Source organism: Homo sapiens, chromosome 9 (assembly GCF_000001405.40).
Source record: "Homo sapiens chromosome 9, GRCh38.p14 Primary Assembly".
Classification (NCBI taxonomy): domain Eukaryota; kingdom Metazoa; phylum Chordata; class Mammalia; order Primates; family Hominidae; genus Homo; species Homo sapiens.
This window is the reverse complement of record NC_000009.12, coordinates 86,423,562-86,446,925: the sequence shown is the minus strand read 5'-3', so window position 1 is coordinate 86,446,925 and position 23,364 is coordinate 86,423,562. Positions and strand designations below refer to the sequence as shown.

Sequence of the window (23,364 nt, the reverse complement as noted above, 5' to 3'; positions counted from 1 at the left end):
GTAAACCAGTTCAGGCATCTTCCTAGTTTCCATCCTTCTCCTTCATACACACACGATACTAATAAAATCATTGATACACTCTCTATTATAATTCCCTATTCTGTTATGTAAGGCACCAACTGCACCTATCCCTTCTTCCTAAGGCGACATAGGTACTCTTAATCAGACCCAATTGCTGTATCCAGCAGCCTAGTTTTGACTATTGATGATAATTCTGAGCTAACTCAAATTGTCCCATTTTTCTTAGTGTTCCCTGCTTTGTGATGTTTCCATCATCCCTTCACAGAATTATCTGGATGCATCGTTCAGGATCATCACTCCAAGTCCCAGCTGGTGTAGAAGTATACTTCTCATAGCCCTGAAAGGAGCCCAAATCACAATTCCACATCCCTGATGACTGGGTTTTCTCTTGCCCCAATTCCGTCTCAAGCCCAGTCCCCATAAGGTGTCAGACAACTCAGGTCATGCCTCAGGGGATACAGGGAATAGCCCAAGCCCATCAACCTCTGTCATATATAGGCCAACAATTAGTTACCTAAAAAACGCATGATGAGGACCACCCTGAGGAGCACAGTTAGGTAACATAAACCATAGGAAGTGCTATCACACAACCCACACATAGCTGTTGTGAAACAGGGCTTTGGGATTCTCCTTGGTACAAATGTGAGGGCTCCCCTGTGCTCCATTTACTCATTAAAATGACCTCTTCTGTCGTAGAAGAAAACCTACATTCCTAACTCGCTCTGCCATCTTCTCATCATGGCTGGAAAGTGCTTACCAATCTAATACTTCTTCCCTTTGGTACAGACACTGACTTGAATTTTTCCTTCAGCTTTCCATGGACAGCAAACATCTTGAGCTGTTGCTATACTAAGAAAGAAATGATGTTGGCCTGGATTCCCTGCCATTCCCCCAAGAAAATGTGTCAATATTCACAACAAACAAACAAATGTGGATGTATGTAAAATCCTTGCCCATGTGTAGCTCATACTTTCCTTTCCTCTGCAAATGGGAGCTGTCAAAAACAAATTAAGTAATGACATGCTGTGGCTGCAGCTGTGTGTATCCTTCATCACATTATATGGCTGTGGTTAAGGGATGACTCTCTCCTGCTTAGTTTTTAAATATTTATAATGGAAGTTGAGTTGTCAGGGCATGTCCAACTGTTGTCAGAAAAAACAAAAAGTAAATGAAAATAACATCGATGGCATGGCACAACTCTATGGACTGTGTGTATGTATGTATGTACAGTAAATGTGCTATCATCCTGTAAAAGTTATCCTGGCTGTTTTTTTCTAATTAACAGAAAAATCCCATCAGTATGCAAACAGAGTTTCTGTCCATTTTTAAATAACAAAAATAAAATATCCTTAGTACAAACAGAATTAACTGACCATATTTTATCATTTCTTTTAAAAATTAGGAATCTCAGTTGGGCACGGTAGTTCACGCCTATAATTCAAGCACTTTCGGAAGCTGAGGTTGGAGGATCTCTTGAGGCCAGGAGTTCAAGACCAGCCTGGGAAACGCAGAGAAACCCTGTCCCCACAAAAAGAAAATAAAATAATAACTTAGCGATTCGTAGTGGCATGCACCCGTGGTCCCAAGTTACTTGGGAGGCTGAGATGGGAGGATGGCTTGAGCCTGGGAAGTCAAGGTTGCAGAGAGCCATGATCACACCATTGCACTCCAGCCTAGGCAACAACAGAGTCAGACCTTGTCTCAAAAAAGAAAAAAAATAGCAATCTCCATTTAAAAATGTTATATAAGTAAATAACAGTTAATTACCCAAAACAATAACATCCTTAAGACCTAATGGTCCTGCAAGGTGAGTGGTATTTGGTTGGGGAGGGGAGCGGGGTGTGTGTGTGTGTGTGTGTGGTAGTTTAGCCTTTGGGTACTGATATCCTTAAAATCCTTAGTTTCAACTTTCAGAATTAATAAGAATAAAAACAAACAGTTGTCATTTCAAGGTTTATGCCCACTTTCTCAAAAAAAAAATTCCTTCAGGGGGATAATTTTAAACAAATTTGACTTTTGTAAGAAGATACGCATTTAAGGGGAATACCAGGCAAAAGGCATCTGGATAAAAAAGAGAGAGGTCACTCGTACTGTCTCATATAGATATAGGTATAGATGATATAGATATAGACATAGAGATATAATAGATATAGATAGAATGGATATATATGTACATATATAATGTACTAAATGCTAACTTTTTAAGACAATGAAGCATATTTAAAACATATCATACTCAGAATCTTAGAGTTTTTCAATGGCAAGCAACAATGGCAAAGACTAAATAATTTAGATAACAAAGAAACACAAAGAAAGACCAAGGAATAGGGCAGAACCAAATATAAAAACCTCTGAGACTAATTGGATTTTCAAGAACATTACTTCCCATGTTGTGAAGGAACTTCCCTCTCACTATGAATGTATAGAAGTAATGAGTAAAAAGTAGCAAAAAACACAAAAAATTAACACGTAGCCATGCCAAAAAAAAAAAAAAATCAGAAAATTCCTGTTTGCCAAATAAACAGAAATCAAGGCCAGACCAGAGGTGACCGACCAGCAGTCTCAAATTCAATCGTAGGCCCTAGAAGCTCAGCACTGGATCCTAATGCTTCCGTGGAGAAAGGAGACACAATATCTGTAGAAGGGGGAAGAGTTGTAATTGTATATCCCATGTAAAGCATGGAGCCTAGAATAGCTCCTCCCACCTGACTGTGAAAGCAGATAGAAAGCCTGCCACCTCTGCAGGGGCTTGGGTTGACAATACATCACCTCTGGGAAGTCAAAACTCCAGGTACCCATTCACATGTGTATAAGGTTTAAATATGTAATATTCACATGGTTAAGGCACCACAACCATGTAGCTGATAGAAAGATTGCTCTGAAGGCACTGTATGCATCTTAGGAAATACAAAACAACTCTTTTTTTGAGACGGCGAAATACCCAAATTTTTCTACCACATGTGTATTTGGTTTTAATACTAGTTTAATGAATCCCATATGGATAGGTTTACTTTTTATTTTATGTATTTATTTTTTTTGAGATGGAGTTTCGCTCTTGTTGCCCAGGCTGCAATGCAATGGTGTGATGTCTGCTTACTGCAACCTCTGCCTCCCAGGTTCAAGCGATTCTCCTGCCTCAGCCTTCCAAGTAGCTAGAATTACAGGTGCCTACCACCATGCTCAGCTAATTTTCATATTTTTAGTAGAGACAGGGTTTTGGCATATTGGCCAGGCTGGTCTCAAACTCCTGACCTCAGATGATCCACCTGCCTCGGCCTCTCAAAGTACTGGGATTACAGGCATGAACCACCACAACTGGCCTAAAACAGTTCTTGACGGATACTTTAAAAACAGATTTAGGAAACTCCCAAAGCAGGGAGCAGGAGCTACCATAAATGAACATCATTTATAAACACAATAAGAAATCAAGGAGGGGCAAGGTGGTGTGTTCCTGTAGTCCCAACTACTCTGGGGGCTCAGGTGGGAGAATCTTTTGAGCCCGGGAGGTTGAGGCTGCAATGAGCCAAGACTGTACCACTGCACTCCAGCGTGTTGTTGTTGTTTTTCAGACAGAGTGAGATCCAGGAAAGAAAGAAAGAAAGAAAGAAGGAAGGAAAGAAAGAAAGAAAGAAAGAAAGAAAGAAAGAAAGAAAGAAAGAAAGAAAGAAAGAAAGAAAGAAAGAAAGAAAGAAAGAAAGAAAGAAAGAAAGAGAAAGAAAGAGAGAGACAGACAGAGAGAGAGAGAAAGAAAGAAAGAAAGAAAGAAAGAAAGAAAGAAAGAAAGAAGGAAAGAAGGAAAGAAAGAAAGAAAGAAAAAGAAAGAAAGAAAGAAGGAAGGAAGGAAGGAGGGAGGGAGGGAAAAAGCAGAAAGAAAGAAAGAGAGAGAGAGAGAAAGAAAGAAAGAGAGAGAGAAAGAAAGAGGAAGGAAGGAAGGAAAGAGAGAAGGAGGGAGGGAAGGAAGGAAGGCAGGCAGGCACTGAGGGAAATTCAGAAGATGCAATAAACAGGAAAATTAGCACTCTCCAAATCTGGATTATACACAACGTGAAAGAGACTACAAACAATTTTATTTAAAATTAATAAAAAGATAAAAAGGAATAAAATTCAAAAAGAAAAGCTCAGATACTGTGAAAAAGAATAGACCAATTTGAAAAGCCAAATAGAACTTCTAGAAATGAAGGAGAAACTCATTGACATTAAAAACAAGTAAAAATATCCATAGCTAGATATGTTATAGAAAAATTTCAGAACCTCAACAACAAAGGATTGAGAAAGTAAAAACATATTATCTATAAATAAATGGCAATTCGAGTGACAGCAAACTCCTCATCAACAACAATAATTCTTGAAGGCTGGGAAGCATCTTGAAAGCAATGAGGGAATATAACAATCAGAGTATATATCCATCTAAATTATATGCACATGAGGTGAAATAAAAGCCTTTTTAGATAGACTGCTTGAAAAAGTTTACTACTCGTAATTTTGCCCCGAGATGAATATTAGTTTAAACAATATGAAATTTCTGATATTTGGCCATTTTGACCCACAAAAATGACAATTTCATATGATTCAAACTAAATCTAAAAGACATATGTGCTTCAGGTAGAAGAAAAATGAATCCGGGGAAGATGCAAGAAGCAATGATGAGTAGTTATTGATAAAACTAAATAAGCATTGACTATAAGGATAATAAAATGACTAGTGGCATTTGGAATGGAAAGGGAGAACTAAGACATATCTGCTGATACGAAGCTAGAGCTAATAATTAACATGAAATCATGGTAACTCATGTATCCATGTTAAAACTTTAAGGTTGACTACTAAAAAACAGAAATAAAATGTAGAACTTCCAAATCAATGGCTGGAGTCAGGGGGTGGGAATAAAGAAAATTCCATCTTTCCAAGAAAAGTTAGAAAAGCAGAATGTGAAAGCAAAAGAGAGAGAGAGAGAAATACAAAATCACATGGCCAAAGTAAGCCAAATACACTAATAATCAAAGTGGCAGTAAATGAAATGATTATGCCCTTAACAAAGGACAGATTCTTAGGATTTTAAGGAACAGACCCCAAAAAACCCAGCAATATATGCTCTTTTCTATAAACATGCCTAGAGCAGCTCAAGAGGGTCAAGAGTGAAAGAATGAAAAAAGGTGAAAGAGGACATACGAGACGAAGACTAAGAAAAAAAAAAGAGGGGGCAGAAAGGAAAGGAAAGAAGGGGCTGGGCACGGTGGCTCACATCTGTAATCCCAGCACTTTGGGAGGCCGAGATGGGTGGATCACTTGAGGTCAGAAGTTCAAGACCAGCCTGGCCAACATGGTGAAACCTGTCTCTACTAAAAAAATTAACCAGATTTAATAGTGGGTGCCTGTAATCCCAGCTACTTGGGAGGCAGGAGAATCGCTTGAACTTGGGAGGCAGAGGTTGCAGTGAGGTGAGATTGCGCCATTGCACTCCAGCCTGGGTGACAGTGTGAGACTCCATCACACACACACACAAAAAAAAAAAGAAGAAGAAGAAGAAGAAAAGAAAAGAAAGAAGGGAGAGAGGAGGTGGGCAAGATGAGGAAAGAAAGAAGCCAGCATAGCAACATTAGACAAAGACACATTAAGACAAAAATAATTATTATTACAAATTGAAAAAGAGGGTCATTATTTAAGGATAAATGAAACAATAAGGCAGAAAAACATCCTTGCTTTAAATCTGCACCTAACCCTGTAGCCACAAAATACATTAAACCAATAGTTGTGAGTAAATATTGACTGAAATTAATATGGCATTTGATGCCCTCTGTTTTTCCTAAGATATTTTTCGCTATTAATTACTTCCTAATTAAGTATTAGTTTGTTCGTTGAATGAATTTTGACTGAGTAACTACTATGTCCCAAAATAGAAATTCAGTGATGAACAAGATAGACAAAGTCCCTGCCCTCATGGACTTTATATTCCAGTGGACAAAATATGTTTATTTCAAAATAAATGTTTAAAACATGTGGCTCACATGTGAGAAATTATACTAATATCTAAAATAATATGCAGTACTCAGATTGCTTATTCAGCCATATTGCCCAATGCCTAAGCGGTTCTCTGATCAGGATATTGTTAAGAGATTGGTTAAATTTTTAAGGACTCCGCTCTGTTCAACGGGCACCATGTATTTGTTTACATATATTTGCTTCTCACTTTTACTAAGTATGATTATAGAGCTGACGCCCACAAGATGGAATAATAAAAGAATTACCTAAAGTTAAATATACAAAGTCTCAAAAGAATCAGATGTAATTGCAAAGTGTGCATGTGGCCAATAGTGTTAAAAATGATGATTTCATAATTACTAGTTTGTTACATGAGAAGTGTAACTGAAAACGGGAAATTCACCACAGTTCATGATTTAAGTAGTACAAATAGCAGACAGCAATTGAGGCCACGTTTTCATTTGTTTTACTGTACTAAGTAAAAACCATTGATTCACTTACAATTCTTCCTTGTACTTATGTGTCTCTTTTGAGTCATATATTAGGACAATATGAAGATGTAAATTCTTAAATCTTCATGGAGTGTATCTCTTTTCATTAACTGCCAAAGTATACATAAAATATTCCAAAAGAACAAACCACAACAAAATGTTTCTTTAGATATGGTCAAAACTTATTTGGCACAAGTTACCAAAAGAAATGTAGTCAAGTGGCAAGTGATATTTAATTTACATCCTGAAATGTTTACAGAAACTATTAAGTATTGTTGATGAATAAGACTGCACTTACAAATGATTTCTGCCATAAATAATATGCACAGTTTAAGCCAGTATAAACACAATTCTAACAATTAGAAAGAAAAAAGGATTGAGATTACATCTGATCCAAAGAAAAGTCAACTTGACACACACACACACAAACTGTACTCTATTTGTTTAGAAAGCTTACCTAGAATAGAAATAAAAGTTTCTAATTAACCTCTTATTTATAGAGCCCCGTTCTGCTGTATGGATGATGGTATGCCAAGTTTGAACTACCACACTTCAACTAGTGGTCAATTCTAAAAGTCTATGGTTTTCTCATCAAAGGAAGTGTCAAGTAACTCTGAGCTACATTCAGGAATCTATGTCCCCCAAAGATCCAGCATTTGATTGGAAAAGGCTTATCATTGGTGTATTAGGCCATTTTTGCCCTGCCATGAAGAAATACTTAAGACTTGGTAATTTGTAAACAAAAGAGGTTTAATTGGCTGGGTTCTGCAGGCTGTCCTGGAAGCATGGGCCGGCATCTGCTTGGCTTCTGGGAAGGTAAACAGGGAGCAGGTGTGTCACATGGCAAGCAAGGGAGCAAGGACAGTTGCAACAGGGAGTGCCACATACTTTTTTTTTTTTTTTGAGGCGGAGTTTCGTTCTGTCACCCAGGCTGGAGTGCAGTGGCATGATCTCGGCTCACTGCAAGCTCCACCTCCCGGGTTCATGCCATTCTCCTGCCTCAGCCTCCTGAGTAGCTGGGACTACAGGCGCCCGCCACCATGCCCAACTAATTTTTTTGTATTTTTAGTAGAGATGGGGTTTTACTGTGTTAGCCAGGATGGTCTTGATCTCCTGACCTCGTGATCTGCCCACATCGGCCTCCTAAAGTGTTGGGATTATAGGCGTGAGCCACCGCACCTGGCCGCCACATACTTTTAAACAACCAGATCTCACAAGAACTCACTCACTATCAGCAGGACAGTACCAAGCCATTCATGAAGGATCTGCCCCATAACCCAAACACCTCCCACTAGGCCCCACTTCCAACACTGGGGAATTATATTTCAACATAAGACTTGGGGGGACAAATATCCAAACTATATCACTTCGGTTTAATTGTCTGTTAATCAGAGCCTTGAAATCACTGCCTTCTCCTTTGCCTCTTTCAATCAACCAAGGCCACCCAGAATTTCTGTACATATGTCACTTAACTTGCTAGCAACCCTTGGGGGAAGGGAGTAGACTACACTCAAGTTCTCTGTACATCCCTAGTCATTGAGTTGCCACTTTCATGTCTGCAAGTGGCCGGCAGCCGTGCAATGAGGGAGACAGGTGGTGGCGCCCAGGTCCTGCCTAGGTAGAAAAGTGATGGAAGATCCCTGCTTGATGCTGAGGCCCCAGCAACACCCGCCCTGGAAAGATAAAAGAGGAACTGGCCTATCCTATCCTTGATGCCGAAGGGAAGGGAGAGAAAGGAAAATCTCCTCTAAGAGCAAAGAGCCACCTGGCCCTCCTACAGTGTGTGGTACCAATTTACAGAGCTTTGATAGTCCAAAACAGCTTCAGTGGAGAATTTGGTTTAAAGTACTTGCAGAAGCAATTCTGAGAGAGAATAAAGGAGACGTTACTTAAACGGAAAATGACTGTATGATGGCTGTAGTTAGCGCGAACCCAGAAAACCTGAGACAGGTCTCAGTTAGTTTAGAAAGTCTATTTTGCCAGCGTTGAAGATGCACCTGTGACACAGCCTCAGGAAGTCCTGACAACATGTGCCCAAGGTGGTTGGGGCACAGCTTCATTTTATACATTTTAGGGAGACGTGAGACATCAATCAGTATGTATATAAGAAGGACATTAGTTCGGTCTGGAAAGGCAGGACAACTTGAAGCAAAGGCAGGAAGACTCAAAGCAGTGGGAGGGGGCTTCCAAGTCACAGATAGGTGAGAGACGAACAGTTGCATTCTTTTGAGTTTCTGATTAGCCTTTCCAAAGGAGGCAATCAGATATTGCTTCTATCTCAGCGAGCAGAGGGATGACTTTGAATAGAATGGCAGGCAGGTTGGCCCTAAGCAGTTCCCAGCTTGACTTTTCCCTTTAGCTTAGTGATTTGGGGGCCCGAAGATTTATGTTCCTTTCACATTTATAATAATCTATTGTATACTTAAAAATTGCTAAGAGAGTAGATCTTAAATGTTCTTGCCACAAAAATCATGAAGCAATGAATATGTTAACTAGCTTAATTGCACAATGTATACATATATTGAAACATCACATTGTATACCATAAATATATGCAATTTTTATTTGTCATTTTAAAAAATTTTAGAAGAAAAAAAATTTAAGAGAGATCATGGCTGAAATTTTTCAGAATTAGTGAAAGATACCAATCCTCAAATTACTGCAATCAATGAAACCCAAAGATATGGGTGCCTAGACATAGCACAGTGAAACTAAAGAACATCAAAGAAGACAAAGAAAGTGTTTAAAGCAGCCAGAGAGAAAAGAGAGACTTACCCACAGAGAAATGATGAAAAGACTGATGGCTTACTTCTTAATATCCATCCACTGGACACCAGAAGAGACAAAGAACTAAAAGAAAGAAGATAACCAAAAACCTGGATCCCTAGTTCTAGCAAATATTCTTTTCAAATATAAATGGTAGCCAGGCACAGTGACTCATGCCTGTAATCCCAGCACTTTGGGAGGTAGAGGTGGGCGGATCATCTGAGGTCAGGAGTTCGAGACCAGCCTGGCTAACATGGTGAAACCCCATTTCCATTAAAAAGACAAAAAATTAGCCGGGTGTGGTGGCGCACGCCTGTTGCACCTGCAATCCCAGCTATTTGGGAGGCTGAGGCAGAGAATTGCTTGAACCCAGGAGGCAGAGGTTGCAGTAAGCCAAGATTGCATCACCACTGCACTCCAGTCAGGGCAACAGAGTGAGACTCTGTCTCAAAAAAAAGAAAAAAAAAACAAAAGACAAAGTCTACAATAAGGCTAAATGGACTAAGTATAAAAGAAAATGAAAACAAAACCGGATTTTTAAAAAGTAAAAGAAGCCAGGTTTACCTATGTTAGAAATGAAATGCTTGTTCTCAGTGCCACAAAGAAATAGCACTTGAACATAATTTTCTCAGCAAGGCAATTTTTACTTCTATAGAAGGGTATGACTGTCAAATGGAGTAATGGCAAGAGCACACCTGAAAAAGGGAGGGGAAGGGGTTCTTATTCCCGACACAGGTAGTCCCTATTGCTGTGTCGTTCCCCTAATGGCAGGCTTGGACCATACAGTCTAAGCTAATTCTGATAGGCTATTTTAAAGAGAGCAGGGGTATGAGCCAGAGTAGTGGGGTCAGTAGTTTTGTGGGAAGGACAATTACGGAACAGGTGACTAAAGGTGACTTAAGTCAGACTTAGGTGACCACAGGTGATTCAGGTCAAAAAAGGTAACCAGGATGAGTCAGGATGGAGCAGGTGACCAGGGGAACAGATGTGAACTACTGATTAAAACTGGCGGAAAATGTTGTTTACTGAAACTACGAGGAAGTTAAACTTAAAAATGGAGGACAAAGAACTGACCATACTGACATAGTGATTCTTTGAAGAGAAATTTAGAACTCACTCTATCCAACATCTAAAACCAAAGGACATACAACATTTGAATAACATGGGAAAATATATATAAGCATGTACCAACAAAATGAATGATAGAGTTGCTATAAAAATATCAGATAAAATAGTCACTAAAGCAGTAGTAAGATCTCAATTTCTGAGAGTAGAATGCTTCATTGAAATTCTTTCACCAAACTTGAAGACTCTCAAGTCAATAGTAATGATTCTTCAGACATGGCACTTTCATTTTTTGTCCTTACTCTCCATAACTCCTTAGACTTCTGTCTTCACCCCCCATTGGCATCAGCCACACTTGGAATCCTCCTCTCATTATCTGATCCCTCATTCCAGGCTCTCTACCTCAGTTCTTCCATCGCTAACCACGACAGCCTTAACCTTGGGCTTTCCCCACTCTACTCACCAGACTTACTCGACTTCCCCAAATCCTCAAAACTCAACTTTTCCCATCTTATCTTGGCATGGAGGGGCTTGAGAGGCACCAATAAATGGTAACCAGTTCCCTTCTTGATCTCTGAACAGAGTGCAAAATAAGAGTAAAGCAAATGGAATCACAAACTATCACCTTTTTAAAGGATAAAGCTGACTTTCCAAAATTCTTATACTTAGTATCTTTTCTGAATACAGTAGCCAGAGGCATTCCTAATGATGTTTTCACTGTAGCTATACTTTAAGAATAGCCAAAAGTTAGTCTCACTCACACAGCGTGTCACGTAAGTGATTAGTGATTGAGTATTGGACCAAGCATACTGATCTGGAATAAGCATAGGGCAGATTCTGACCTGGTAGAGAATGTCTCTCTCTCCTTTCAAAAAAGGCCTAAAAGTGACAGTAAAAAAGAACCAACGAGAACAAGATCAAAATGGAGTTTATTTACTTATAACCCAGATTGACTCTGAAAATGTTAACGTATTATTGGAGCTGGGCATTTACCAAAACCTGTCATAGGAAAAAAGGAAGTAACTTAAATCTCAAATAACACAAATCCTTTTTCTTTCTTCATAAGAGTGGAAAAGGGAATTGCTGATTGGTCCTGAATTTCTCTTTCTTCTCTAAAACACTTTCAGGCAAATGAGAATGGTCTTGACTGTTATGCAGAGGACCAGGATCCTGGGTCAAAAGAGCTTCTTTTCAGCCACAGGTATTATTTCACATTCTAGCTGGAGAGAGAAGGCATAAACAAAAACAAAAAGAAATGGAAAGACATAAATACCTGTTGAAGAAATGGAAGCGACATCACAAGACCAAGAGCTACTGTCAAAATAATTGAATACCATGCCGGGGGCGGTGGCTCACGCCTGTAATCCCAGCACTTTGGGAAGCCGAGGCGGGTGGATCACGAGGTCAGGAGTTCGAGAGCAGCCTAGCCAACATGGTGAAACCCCCGTCTCTAAAAATACAAAAATTAGCTGGGCACAGTGATGTGTGCCTGTAGTCCCAGCTACTTGGGAGGCTGAGGCAGGAGAATCGCTTAAACCCAGGAAGCGGATGTTGCAGTCAGCCAAGATCGCACCACTGCACTCCAGCCTGGCGACAGAGTGAGATTCATTCTCAAATTTTAAAAAAATTAAAAAAACAAAAGAATTGAATTTAAAAAAAGTTAGCAAAGATGGGCTGATAATATTGCTAAAGCATCTGTTTCAATGAAAAAAGGTAAGTGAAGACAAAGAAAAGAACCCCACCTAAGCTATGAGCTGGTAGCTAGAAACACGGGGAGAATCCAATGGTGAAAAGACAAGTAAAATGTTACATAAAACAACAGTTGTTAAAGGGGGTGGAGTGGTGAGACAGGAGTGCTGCCTCCTTTGCTCGGCCCATGGCCCTGTCGCTAAGGAAAAATAACTCCGTGGGAGTGAGTCAGATGAGATAGAACAGGAGGGGTCCTATCTCTGCTAAGTCAGCTAGAGAGACAGTGCGGGACAGACTTTGGAGTCTCGTGGAGTGGAAACCAGTGAGTCAGGGAGGAAGAACTCATCCCAGCTCCCACTCTGCAGCCACATCAAAGTTGCAGGGATTAGCGAACATGCCCACCCGGTTGCGCAAGCTATCCTGAATACCGAGAATCTAATCCACCTGATGAGTTTACTCAGCCAGCTTTTTGTGGACTTGGTACAAAATGCTCAAATGACTTTTAGTTAAAGGAAGCAAAATGGAAGAACAGTCCTCACACAGCAACCTCATCAAAGTTCTTCAATGTAATAAAGCAACTCTGTAACTCTGCTAATACCCTAACATAAAGCCATGATTGCCAAAACAAACAAACAAACAAACAAACAAACAAATTGTAGCCCCTGACTCCCTCTCTCTGGGTGAAATAGTCTTGATTATGCAGATTGTTTGAAATTCAGTCCATCCAAGTAGTTGCAATTCCAGAAATCAAAGAATAGGTACACTGCTCCCTCTACTGGCTTTGCAACTGCAGGTACAGATGAATTTAAACCAGAAAGCAGCCTTTTAGTCTTCATTTAGCTTTCTAGCATTTTCGCTAGAAAGTCTCTAATGACCAAAAAATAGAAGGGTGGTGCAAGTCTCTTAAAGTAAATCTTAAGTAAAGATTTATGGTAATTGTTAACAACAGATCACATTAAAGAGCAAAAAAAAAAAATGCTTAAAACCTTAAATTCTGTTCATGTGATAATTCTTGAAAGTATTGAAATTTTCTGAGGTTGACTACCATAGAGAGTCAAGAATTAAATATAGGGAAAAAAAGAATTAAATATAGGAAACTAAGAAATAAAAACCCTGTTAGATGTTTCAAATAATGTTTCTGATGCATTTCCTAGCATCTCTTCTCTCAGTATTTGAAGAACTTTTGCCACTCTGTTCTTCAGTTACTGAATTGTACAAACTCATAGTGTCCCTATAAGTCCTTTTTCCCTGAACTCTCTGAAAAAGACTATAGATGCATAGATTTTTAAGTAAAAATGAAAACTGTGGCATTCTCTGATTCTCAAAAACTAATAGGAATAATGGCCAAATGATACCAGCAATTGAACTCCTCTTAAAAGGAGCAAGCTGGCTCATGCCTGTAATCCTAGCACTTTGGGAGGCCGAGGCGGGCGGATTGCCTGAGCTCAGGAGTTCGAGACTAGCCTGGGCAACAAGGCGAAACCCCGTCTCTAGTAAAATACAAAAGAAATTAGCTGGGCGTGGTGGCATGCACCTGTAATCCCAGCTACTCAGGAGGCTGAGGCATGAGAATGGCTTGAACCCGGGAGGCGGAGGTTGCAGTGAGCCGAGATCGCACCACTGCACTCCAGCATGGGTGACGGAGAAAGACTGTGTCTCTACAAAAAAAAAAAAAAAAAAGAAAGAAAGAAAGAAAGCAGCAAACTGTGACTCAGATGACCTACCAGCTCTGTTTCCCCCTTATCGATTACCTAGCAAATGGTCCAAAGCTGATGCTCCAGAATATATGTCCTCTCTTGCAAAGCTCCAATTCCATACCTAACTGATTTATTCAACCAAATGCATTCATCTGATCATTTGATAAATATTTTCTGAGCACCTACAATGTGTAAGGCAGTGTTGTAGGTGCTGTGGATACAGAAGTAGACAGATGACCTCACTGAAAAGTCAGAAGCTAGCTTGGTGAGTTCCCATTTATTTTCTTTACATATCAATGAGTTTGTACACTTCCACATATACTAAGGTCAAATTGCAAATCCATGAAGTCTTCCTTGACTAACTTGGGCCATGGGTTTCACATCAACTGATCTTCTGAAATACCCTGTCATGAAGCCACTACACATTTTCTGTCTAGAGTTGTTACTCATATCTGTTATTGCCTTGAATTAGTATTTAAAGATTTGACTGCCATCTGACTTTTCACATATGTTTGGTTTTCTCCTCAACTACATTAGAAATTATTTGAAGTAAGAAATACATGGCCTGACATAGAATGATATGAAAAGTCCTAAAAAGGTATAAAAAATAAATCATACTTAACAACTTAACTTTCCTGAAAAGAATAATATTACATTAAATACGGTCCATCAGCAAAGTTTTATATACTATAAAATTTAATTGGTTTTAATCCAAACTAGATTACTTTATTAATTATAAATTAATTAATATTAATTGTTATCCCCAGTGCAACTTCTAAGAAAATAATTCAAAATATATAGCAAAAGAATGGCAAGAGAATTAAGAGATTTTTTTAAACAGCCTTAGAGGTATAGTCAAAATTGTATATTAAAAAATTTCTAACACAAAAAGGCAATAATGGAGAAATAGTGGAAAAAAAGGACATAAAACATATAGAAAAAAATTTAAACGAAAAGCATAAATCCTACCTTGTTAGTAATTACATTACATGTAAATGCATTAAACACTACAATCAAAATACAGTTATTGACAGAATGGGTTTTGCTTTGTTTGTTTGTTTTGTGAGACAAAGTCTCACTCTGTCGCCCAGGCTGGAGTGTAGTGGCACAATCTTGGCTCACTGCAACCTCCGTCTCCCGGGTTCAAGCGAGTCCCCTGCCTCAGCTTCCCAAGTGGCTGGGACTACAGGCGCCCATCACCACATCTGGCTAATTTTTGTATTTTTAGTAGAGATGGAGTTTCACCATGTTGGCCAGGCTGTTGTCTAACTCCTGGCCCCAAGTGACCAGGCCACCTCGGCCTCCCAAAATGCTGGGATTACAGACATGAGCACCATGCCCCACCAACAGAATGGATTTTTAAAAAAAACAGATCCAACTCTATTGTGTCTACAAGAGACACACTTTAGATTAAAGATACAAAGAGGTTAAAAGTAAGAAGATACCACCCAACAGTAACCAAAAGAGGGCCAGAGACCCATATTAATAGAAGACAAGATAGACTTTAAGACAAAGAAGATTTTTATGATGATAAAAGACCTAACAATTATAAACATATAAGCATCTAATACCAGAGTCCCAAAATCCATGAAGCAAAAACTTGCAGGATTAAAGGAAGAAATGGATAATTCAGTAATCATGGTTGGAGGTTTCAGTTACCCAGTTTCAATAAGAAAATAGGAGACTTGAAAAATACTGCAATAAACTGAATGTGTCCTCCAAAAATGTATATGTTGAAACTCTAACCCCCAGTGTGATGGCATTAGGAGATGGGGCTTTAGGGAGGTAATTAGATGATGAGGGTGAGGTCCTCATGAATAGTATTAGTGCCATTATAAAAAGGACACCAGAGAGCTATCTCATCATCTTGCTGCCACATAAGAGGTACAGCAAGAAGTCAGCATCTGCAACCCGGAAGAGAGCGCTCACCAGACCCAGTCAGGCTGGCACCCTGATCTCAGACTTCCAGCCTCCAGAACTGTGAGAAATATACTTCTGTTGTCTATAAGCCATCCAGTCTGTGGTGCTTTATTATATAGCAGCCCAAAGGGACTAAGCAAACGTTATAAACCAACTTGACCTAACAGACATTAATTGAACACTCCACCCAATAACAGCACAATACATGTTTTTCTTAAATACACATGGAACATTCTCCAGGATAAACCATACACTATGATGAAAACCTTAATAAATTTAAATGATTGAAATAATACAAAGCATGTTCATCAGTCACAATGTAATGACATTAGAAATTAATTAGAAGTAAATTTGAAAAATTCACAAATAGGTAAAAATTAAACAACATACTCTTAATAACCAGTAAGTCAAAAGGGATACCACAAGGAAAATTATAGTTTGAAATAAATGAAAATAAAGATTAAACATGCCAAACTTATGGATGCAGCTGAAGAAGTGCTTAGAGAGAGATTAATAGCTATATAAATACCTATATTTAAAAAGAAGAAATAGCTCTAATCACTAACCTAAACTTCCATTTTCAGAAACCAGAAAAAAGGAGAGCAAACTAAACCCAAAGCAAAATGGAAGGAAATAATAAAGATTAGAATGAAAATAAATGAAGTAGAGTATATATTAATAAAAACAAGAGTGAAAATTCAAAATTGACAAACTTATATCTAGACTGACCAAAAGAGAGAGAGAATACTCATATTACTAAAACTAGGAATGGGGCCACAGGGAGGGAGAACATCAGGATAAATAACTAATGCATGTGGGGCTTAATACCTAGGTGATCGGTTGATAGGTGCAGCAAACCACCATGACACACGTTTACCTATGTAACAAGCCTGCACGTCCTGCACATGTATCCCGGAACTTAAAATTAAATTAAATTTTAAAAATATAATAAAATATAATAAAAAATGAATGGAAGAGAGGGCATCACTCTCAGCCTTACGGAAATTAAAAGGATAATAAGGGAATACTATGAACAACTGTATGCCAACAAAATAAACAACCTAGATAAAATGGACAAATTCCTAGAAAGACACAAACTACTGAAACTGATTTATAAAGAAAATCTGAATACATCTATAACAAATAAAGAGGTTGAATCTGTAACGAAAATACTTTACACAAAGTAAAGTCTAGGCCCATTGGTGAATTCTACCAAACATTTAAAGAAGAATTAACAATCTTTCTCAAACTCATCCAAAAAAAAAAAATAGAAGAGGAAGGAACAGTTTCCAAATCATTCTATCAATATAGACACAAAAATCTTCAACTGAAACTAACAAACTGAATCCAGTCATATATAAAAAGGATCATACACCATGACCAGTGTGTCATAATATAAATGCCAAGTCTGTTTAGCATATGAAGTAAACCAATGTAATATACCACATTAATGAAATGAAGAAAAACAACACATGATCATCTCAATAGACTAACAAAATTCAACAACTTTTCAAAATAAGAAACACTGAAAAAATAGAAATAGAAGGAAACATTATCAATTTGATGAAGGACATCTACTAACATCTCATAGTTAACATCACACTTAATTATGAAAGACTGAATATTTTCCCCTAAGAGGAGCAAGACAAAGGTGTTTGCTGTTACCACTTCTAGTCACCATTGTACTGGAGATTCTAATCAGAGCAAGTAGGCAAGGAGAAGAAATAAAAGCATCCAGACTGGAAAGGAAGTAAAACTATCTCTACTCACAGGTGATGTGATGTTGTACGTAGAAAACCCAACGAAATCCACAAAAAAAAATTTATTAGAACTAATGAATGAGTTTAGCAAGGTTGTAGAATAGAAGACCAATATACAAAAATCAATTGTATTTCTATATACTGTAAATTAACCATACAAAACTGAAATTTCAAAAATTTAGTTTCTAATAGCATCAAAAAGAATATAATAAATAAATACAATGAATAAAGAGGAACTACAAAAAATTAATAAAGGAAATGCAAGAATTATACACTGGAAACTACAAAACATTATTTTTAAAAAAATTTAAAGAAAGCATAAATTAATTGAAACACATCCCAGATCAGAAGACTTAATATTGTTAAGGTGGCAGTATTCACTAAACTGATTTACAGATTCAACCTAATCCCTTTCATAATCCCTGCTGTATATTTTTTGCATAAATTGACAAGCTGATTCTAAGATTCATATGAAAATGCAAGAGACCTGAATAGCCAAAATAATATTGAAAAAGAACAAAGTTGCAAAACTCACCCTTTCCAGTTTCAGAACTTACTGCAAAACTACAGTCATCAAAACAGTGTGGGCCAGGTGAGTGACCCATGCTTGTAATCCCACCACATTAGGGGTCTGAGTCAGGAGGACTGCTTGAAATCAGTTTAAAACCAGCCTAGGCAATAAAGTGAGATCCCATCTCTACAAAAAAAAACTTTAAAAATTGGCTAGGCATGGTGGCACATGCCTGTAGGCTTAGCTATGTAGTAGGGTGAGGTGGAAGGATCAGTTGAGTCCAGGAGTTCAAGGCTGCAGTGATGCAGTGAGCTATGATCATGCCACTGCACTCCAGCCTGCGGGACAGAGCAAGACCCCATCTCCGAAAATAATCATTGTGCTCCTGGCATAGAGCTAAACATATAGATCAACAGAATAGAGTTGAGAGTCCAGAAATAAATCCATACATCTATGGCCAATTGGCTTTGGTCTGACAAGGATGCCCAAGACAATCAGTGGAAAAAGAATAGTGTCTTCAACAAATGGCCCTGGGACAACTGGATATCTATGTGCCAAAGAATAAAGTTGGACTCCTATCACACTGCATATACAAAAATTAAAATGGATCATAAAAAATTTTAATGTAGTAAAGAAAGAAGAAAGAAAAAATAGAACAGCAAGAGTGTTAATTTAGAAAAAAAAATGGATCGATGACCTAAGAATAAGAGCTAGCATCATAAAACTCTTAGAAGAAAACTCTTCATGACCTCAAATTTGGCAATGACACCAAAAGCACAAGCAACAAAAGAAGAAGATAGATAAATCAGACTTCATCAAAATTAAAATATTTTGTATATCAAGGACATGATCAAGAAAGTGGAAAAGCAGCCTACATATCGGGAGAAAATATTTCCAAATCATATATCAAATAAGGGTTTAGCATCCAAAATAAATGAAGAATTCCCACAACTCAACAATAAAAATACAAGCAACCCAATTAAAAAATGGGCAAAGGAGGCCAGGTGCGGTGACTCACTCCTGTAATTCCAGCACTTTGGGAGGCTGAGGCGGGTGGATCATGAGGTCAGGAGTTCCAGACCAGCCTGGCCAAGATGGTGAAATCCCATCTCTACTAAAAATACAAAAAAAAATTAGCCGGGTGTGCTGGTGGGGGCCTGTAATTCCAGCTACTTGGGAGGCTGGAGCAGGAGAGTTGCTTGAACCCAGGAGGTGGAGGTTGCAGTGAGACGAGATCGTGCCACTGCACTCCAGCCTAGGCAACAGAGCAAGACTCCATCTCAAAAAAAAAAAAAAAAAAAAAGTGGGCAAATGATTGGAATAGACATTTCCCCCAATAAGGTATACAAATGACCAACAAGCAATTGAAAAGATGTTAACATCATTAAGCAAATCATCATGGGGAAACGCAAATTGAAACCACAGTGAGTTTTACCACTTAACACCCACTAGGATGGCTATAATGAAAAAGATATATAATAACAAGTGTTGGCAGGGATGTGGAGAAATTGGAACCATCATATATTCCTGGTAGCAAAGTAACGGTACAGCCTCTTTTCAAAGTTGTTTGACAATTCCTCACAAAGTTATAGAGTTGCCATATGACCCAGCAATTCCACTCTCAGGTGGGCTTTGATTTCTTAAGAGAATTTTATTTCTTAAGACAAATCAAAACCTATGTCCACACAAAAACTGGTACACAAATGTTCATAGCAGCATTAATCATAATAGCAAAAAAGTGAAAACAACTCAAATGTCCATCAACAGATGAATGAATCAACAAAATGTGATTATTCATATAAAAGAATATTATTTGGCCATAAAAAGGAATGAAACACTGACACAGGCTGCAATAGGAATAAATCTTAAAACATTATGCTCAGTGAAAGAAGCCAGTCATGAAAGGTCATACATTGCATGATTTAATTTATATGAAATGACCAGAATAGGCAAATCTATAGATACAGAAAGTAGAGTAATGATTGTCAGTAGCTCAGATTGTTGTGGGGGAGCAAAAAAAAAGACTGCTAATGAGTATAGGGTTTCCTTTTGGGGTAATGAAAATGTTCTAAAATCAGATAGTGGTGATGGTTGCACAAACCTGTGAATATACTTAAAACCACTGAACTGTACAATAAATTTAAAAGGGAAAGTGTTATAGTATATGAATTACATCTCAGTAAACTTTTATTTTTTAGAAAATCCAGTCCAAGCCTGGGTAACTTCGCAAGACCCTGTCTTTTCAAAAAAAAAAAAAAATTAGCGGGACATGGTGGTGTGTCCCCATGGGAGGCTGAGGTGGGAGGATCACTTGAGTCTGGTGGGTCAAGACTGCAGTGAGCCATGATCACACCACTGCACTCCAGCCTGGGCGACAGAGTGAGACGCTGTCTCAAAAAAAAAAAAAAAAAAGAAAATCCATTCCATCCTGGAAAACTAGGATGGAAGGATGGTAGGATGGTATAGTTAACTGTATTCATTGATCTTTTTAATCTCTCACAATATATAGCAAGGTGCCTTGTACCCAGAGGCACCAAAATATGTAGAAGGTAGTTCATAATACTTTACATCATTCACCAATCATTCCCAATAGTAGTTGAAGGTTCTCAAATGGTTCACAAACTCCTTGAGGCAAAGTCTGTGTCTTAGATTTTACATACATCCATCACGATTAAACATTGCATTGCAATTACACTGAGCCTCGAAATACTTGCAGTGTAGAAAAGCCCAGTATTTTGGTATCTTGACTAACCTATAACTCTTTTTTTGGAGACAGGGTCTCACTCTGTTACCCAGGCTGGAGTGCAGTGGTGCAATCATAGCGCACCGCAGCCTTGAACTCCTGGGCTCAAGCGATCTTCCTGCCTCAGCCTCTCAAAGAGCTGGGCACATGCCACCATGCCCAGCTCATTTTTAATTTTTTTTTGTAGCGACAGGATCTTGCTATGTTGCCCAGGCTGGTCTCTAACTCCCGGGCTCAAGTGATCCTCCCTCCTCAGCCTCCCAAAGTGTTGGGATTAAAGGCATGAGCCACTGTCCCTGGCCAAACCTATAACTCTTGATTATTCAGGAGGCAGCACCATGCAGGAGTTAAGGGGGAGGATGCTGAGTCAGACTATCTAGGTTTAAATCCAATTTCTACCACTTAATAGTAATATGATCTTGGTGTCATTTGAATGATGCATTAAAAATAATATTAATAGTAATATGATGTTGGACAAATGGCTTAACCTTTCTGAGCCTTTATTTCCTCATCTGTAAGGAGAGGATTAATAATAATAGTCACCACCTGATAGGCTGCGTGAAGGCTTAAATGAAGGAAGGTGTGTAAGGCACGCACTTGGCCCGGCTTGTGATTAGTGCTTATTATTCACTTAACCAAAATTTATTGAGCACTGATTTTAATTTTCTGTCTCAAGGGAGAAAAGTTGAGAAAAAAAAGATATGTAAATAAACCAGTGTAGTAAAGGGCTCTCTGAAAAACATCCAAAGAGCGTAAGAGGGATTGCCAAGGCATGGGAAATCCTGTGTGTATGCGGAATGGGGCAGGGCATAGAATATCAAGGAACATTTTATATGAAAACTACCGCTACAACACAGTGTTTAAATTGTTTTTGTTGTTTTGTTTTTTTTTTTTTTTTTTTTTTTTTTTGAGATGGAGTCTCGCTTGGGCACCAGGCTGGAGTGCAATAGCGCGATCTCGGCTCACTGCAACCTCTGCCTCCAACGTTCAAGCGATTCTCCTGCCTCAGCCTCCTGAGTAGCTGGGACTACAGGTGCATGCCATCACGCCCAGCTAATATTTTTGTATTTTTAGTAGAGACAGGGTTTCACCATGTTGGCCAGGATGGTCTTGATCTCTTGACCTCATACTCCATTTAAATTTTTTAAAAGTATTCATTCCCCAGGTGGACAAAGAAAGGGAAATAAGGACATTCCAAAAGGAGCAGGTGATGAGAGGAAAGCCTCATTTGTTCAGGGATCTAGGGTTAGCTTAGCAGGACAGGAGCACACCTGAGGTGAGGAGCAGTCACAGAAGGAGCCAGCTCGCAGCAGCCTCCTTTTCCCTCTTCATCAGGACTGATTGAATCACCAGGTGAATGGGACCCTCCCCTCCCCGCGCAGTGGAGGCACTTTCTTTGGTTGGTTTTGTTTGTGGCATGGTTGTGTCCAGAGGCCATAGAGCAGAAGACAGGAAGGACAGAATGAACTTTTGCCGGGCTCCAGATGGCTTGAATATTTCTAAATATCCTGGTCCTTTTACTGCTGACAAGGCCCGCCCCTGTTCACTGGTCAGTGGTCATTGTGCACCCAGAGGCTCCAGCACAACGTTTGGGAGTGACTCGTTTCCTTGGTAAGTGCATCTGCATCCTGCACAAGCCCAGTTTCCCTTGTGTGCTCCCAGTATGCATTATTCCCACACTGGGCACCAGAAAGGCTGCAACAGGACGGCAGCTCCCAGAGGAGTCCCCTCAATTACCGACAATAAGCCTCTGTACATAAGCCCTCATCAGACGTGATTATGGCCGCAGGTTAATCTAGCGGTTCCTCCTAATTAATAGCCTGGAGTATTGAAGAAGCCAGAAGTGACCACAACACTCCAAGTTTTTGGAAAACCCCAGCTGGCTAAGTGTCAGCCTTCCTTTAGACCAAACCTTGGTCTGTTGTTTAACCACATCACCCTTTCCTGGAATCCAGCCCTCTGGCTGACACCCTTCTGTGGAGACAGAGTGTCCCTCTTGCGGCTCAGAAATACTACTTAGTCTTTTTTCTGCCTCAGCATTCCCATTCCTTGGTCTTTCAGCTTCCTCCAATCCATTCTTATCGTCTCTTGAAAATTTGCTACATCTTTTCCCACTCTGTCGTTCCAGTTTATTATCTCCAGAGTTGTTTTATTATTTTCCTTCAAAAAACCTGAAGCACTTTTCTTTCCCTACTCCTTGATTTCCCAGTCTCTTTCTTTCTTTCCCTCTACCCCCATCTCTCTTCTCCTACTCCCTCTCTTTCTGTATTTTCTTTTTGTGTTGGCCTCAGATGAAAACAAACAGATTAATCACATTGTGTGTGTCATGGCAGTCTCGCTAGGTCCCATGCATGGTCCTCTATTAGTTGGTTCATGTTTTTTTCTGATTGCTTGATTTTAGTAATGTAATAACCTTCCATCAATCTGACAACCACTGAAACACAAATGAGGATCTCGCCGGGCACAGTGGCTCACGCCTGTAATCCCAGCACTTTGGGAGGCTGAGGCGGGTGGATCATGAGGTCAATAAATCGAGACCATCCTGGCCGACATGGTGAAATCCCATCTCTACTAAAAATACAAAAATTAGCCGGGCGTGGTGGCCGCATGCCTGTAGTCTCAGCTACTTGGGAGGCTGAGGCTGGAGAATCGCTTGAACCTGGGAGGCGAAGGTTGCAGTGAGCCGAGATCGCGCCACTGCACTCCAGCCTGGGTGACAGAGTGAG

The 23,364-nt window shown here is 39.2% G+C and overlaps 1 long non-coding RNA gene across 3 annotated transcripts in view; it reads right to left on the bottom strand.

Annotated features, from left to right (window-relative positions):
* Nucleotides 1-23,364, bottom strand: part of LOC102724080 (uncharacterized) — a 117,440-nt gene that overhangs the window by 84,355 nt on the left and 9,721 nt on the right. The window contains exon 2 of one of the 3 annotated variants that reach the window (XR_007061635.1): nucleotides 11,229-11,538. The exons of the other annotated variants lie outside the window; for them this stretch is intronic. This is a non-coding gene — a long non-coding RNA (uncharacterized LOC102724080). Of the gene's footprint in view, nucleotides 1-11,228; nucleotides 11,539-23,364 lie in introns of those variants that run through there. 3 annotated transcript variants of the gene reach the window in all.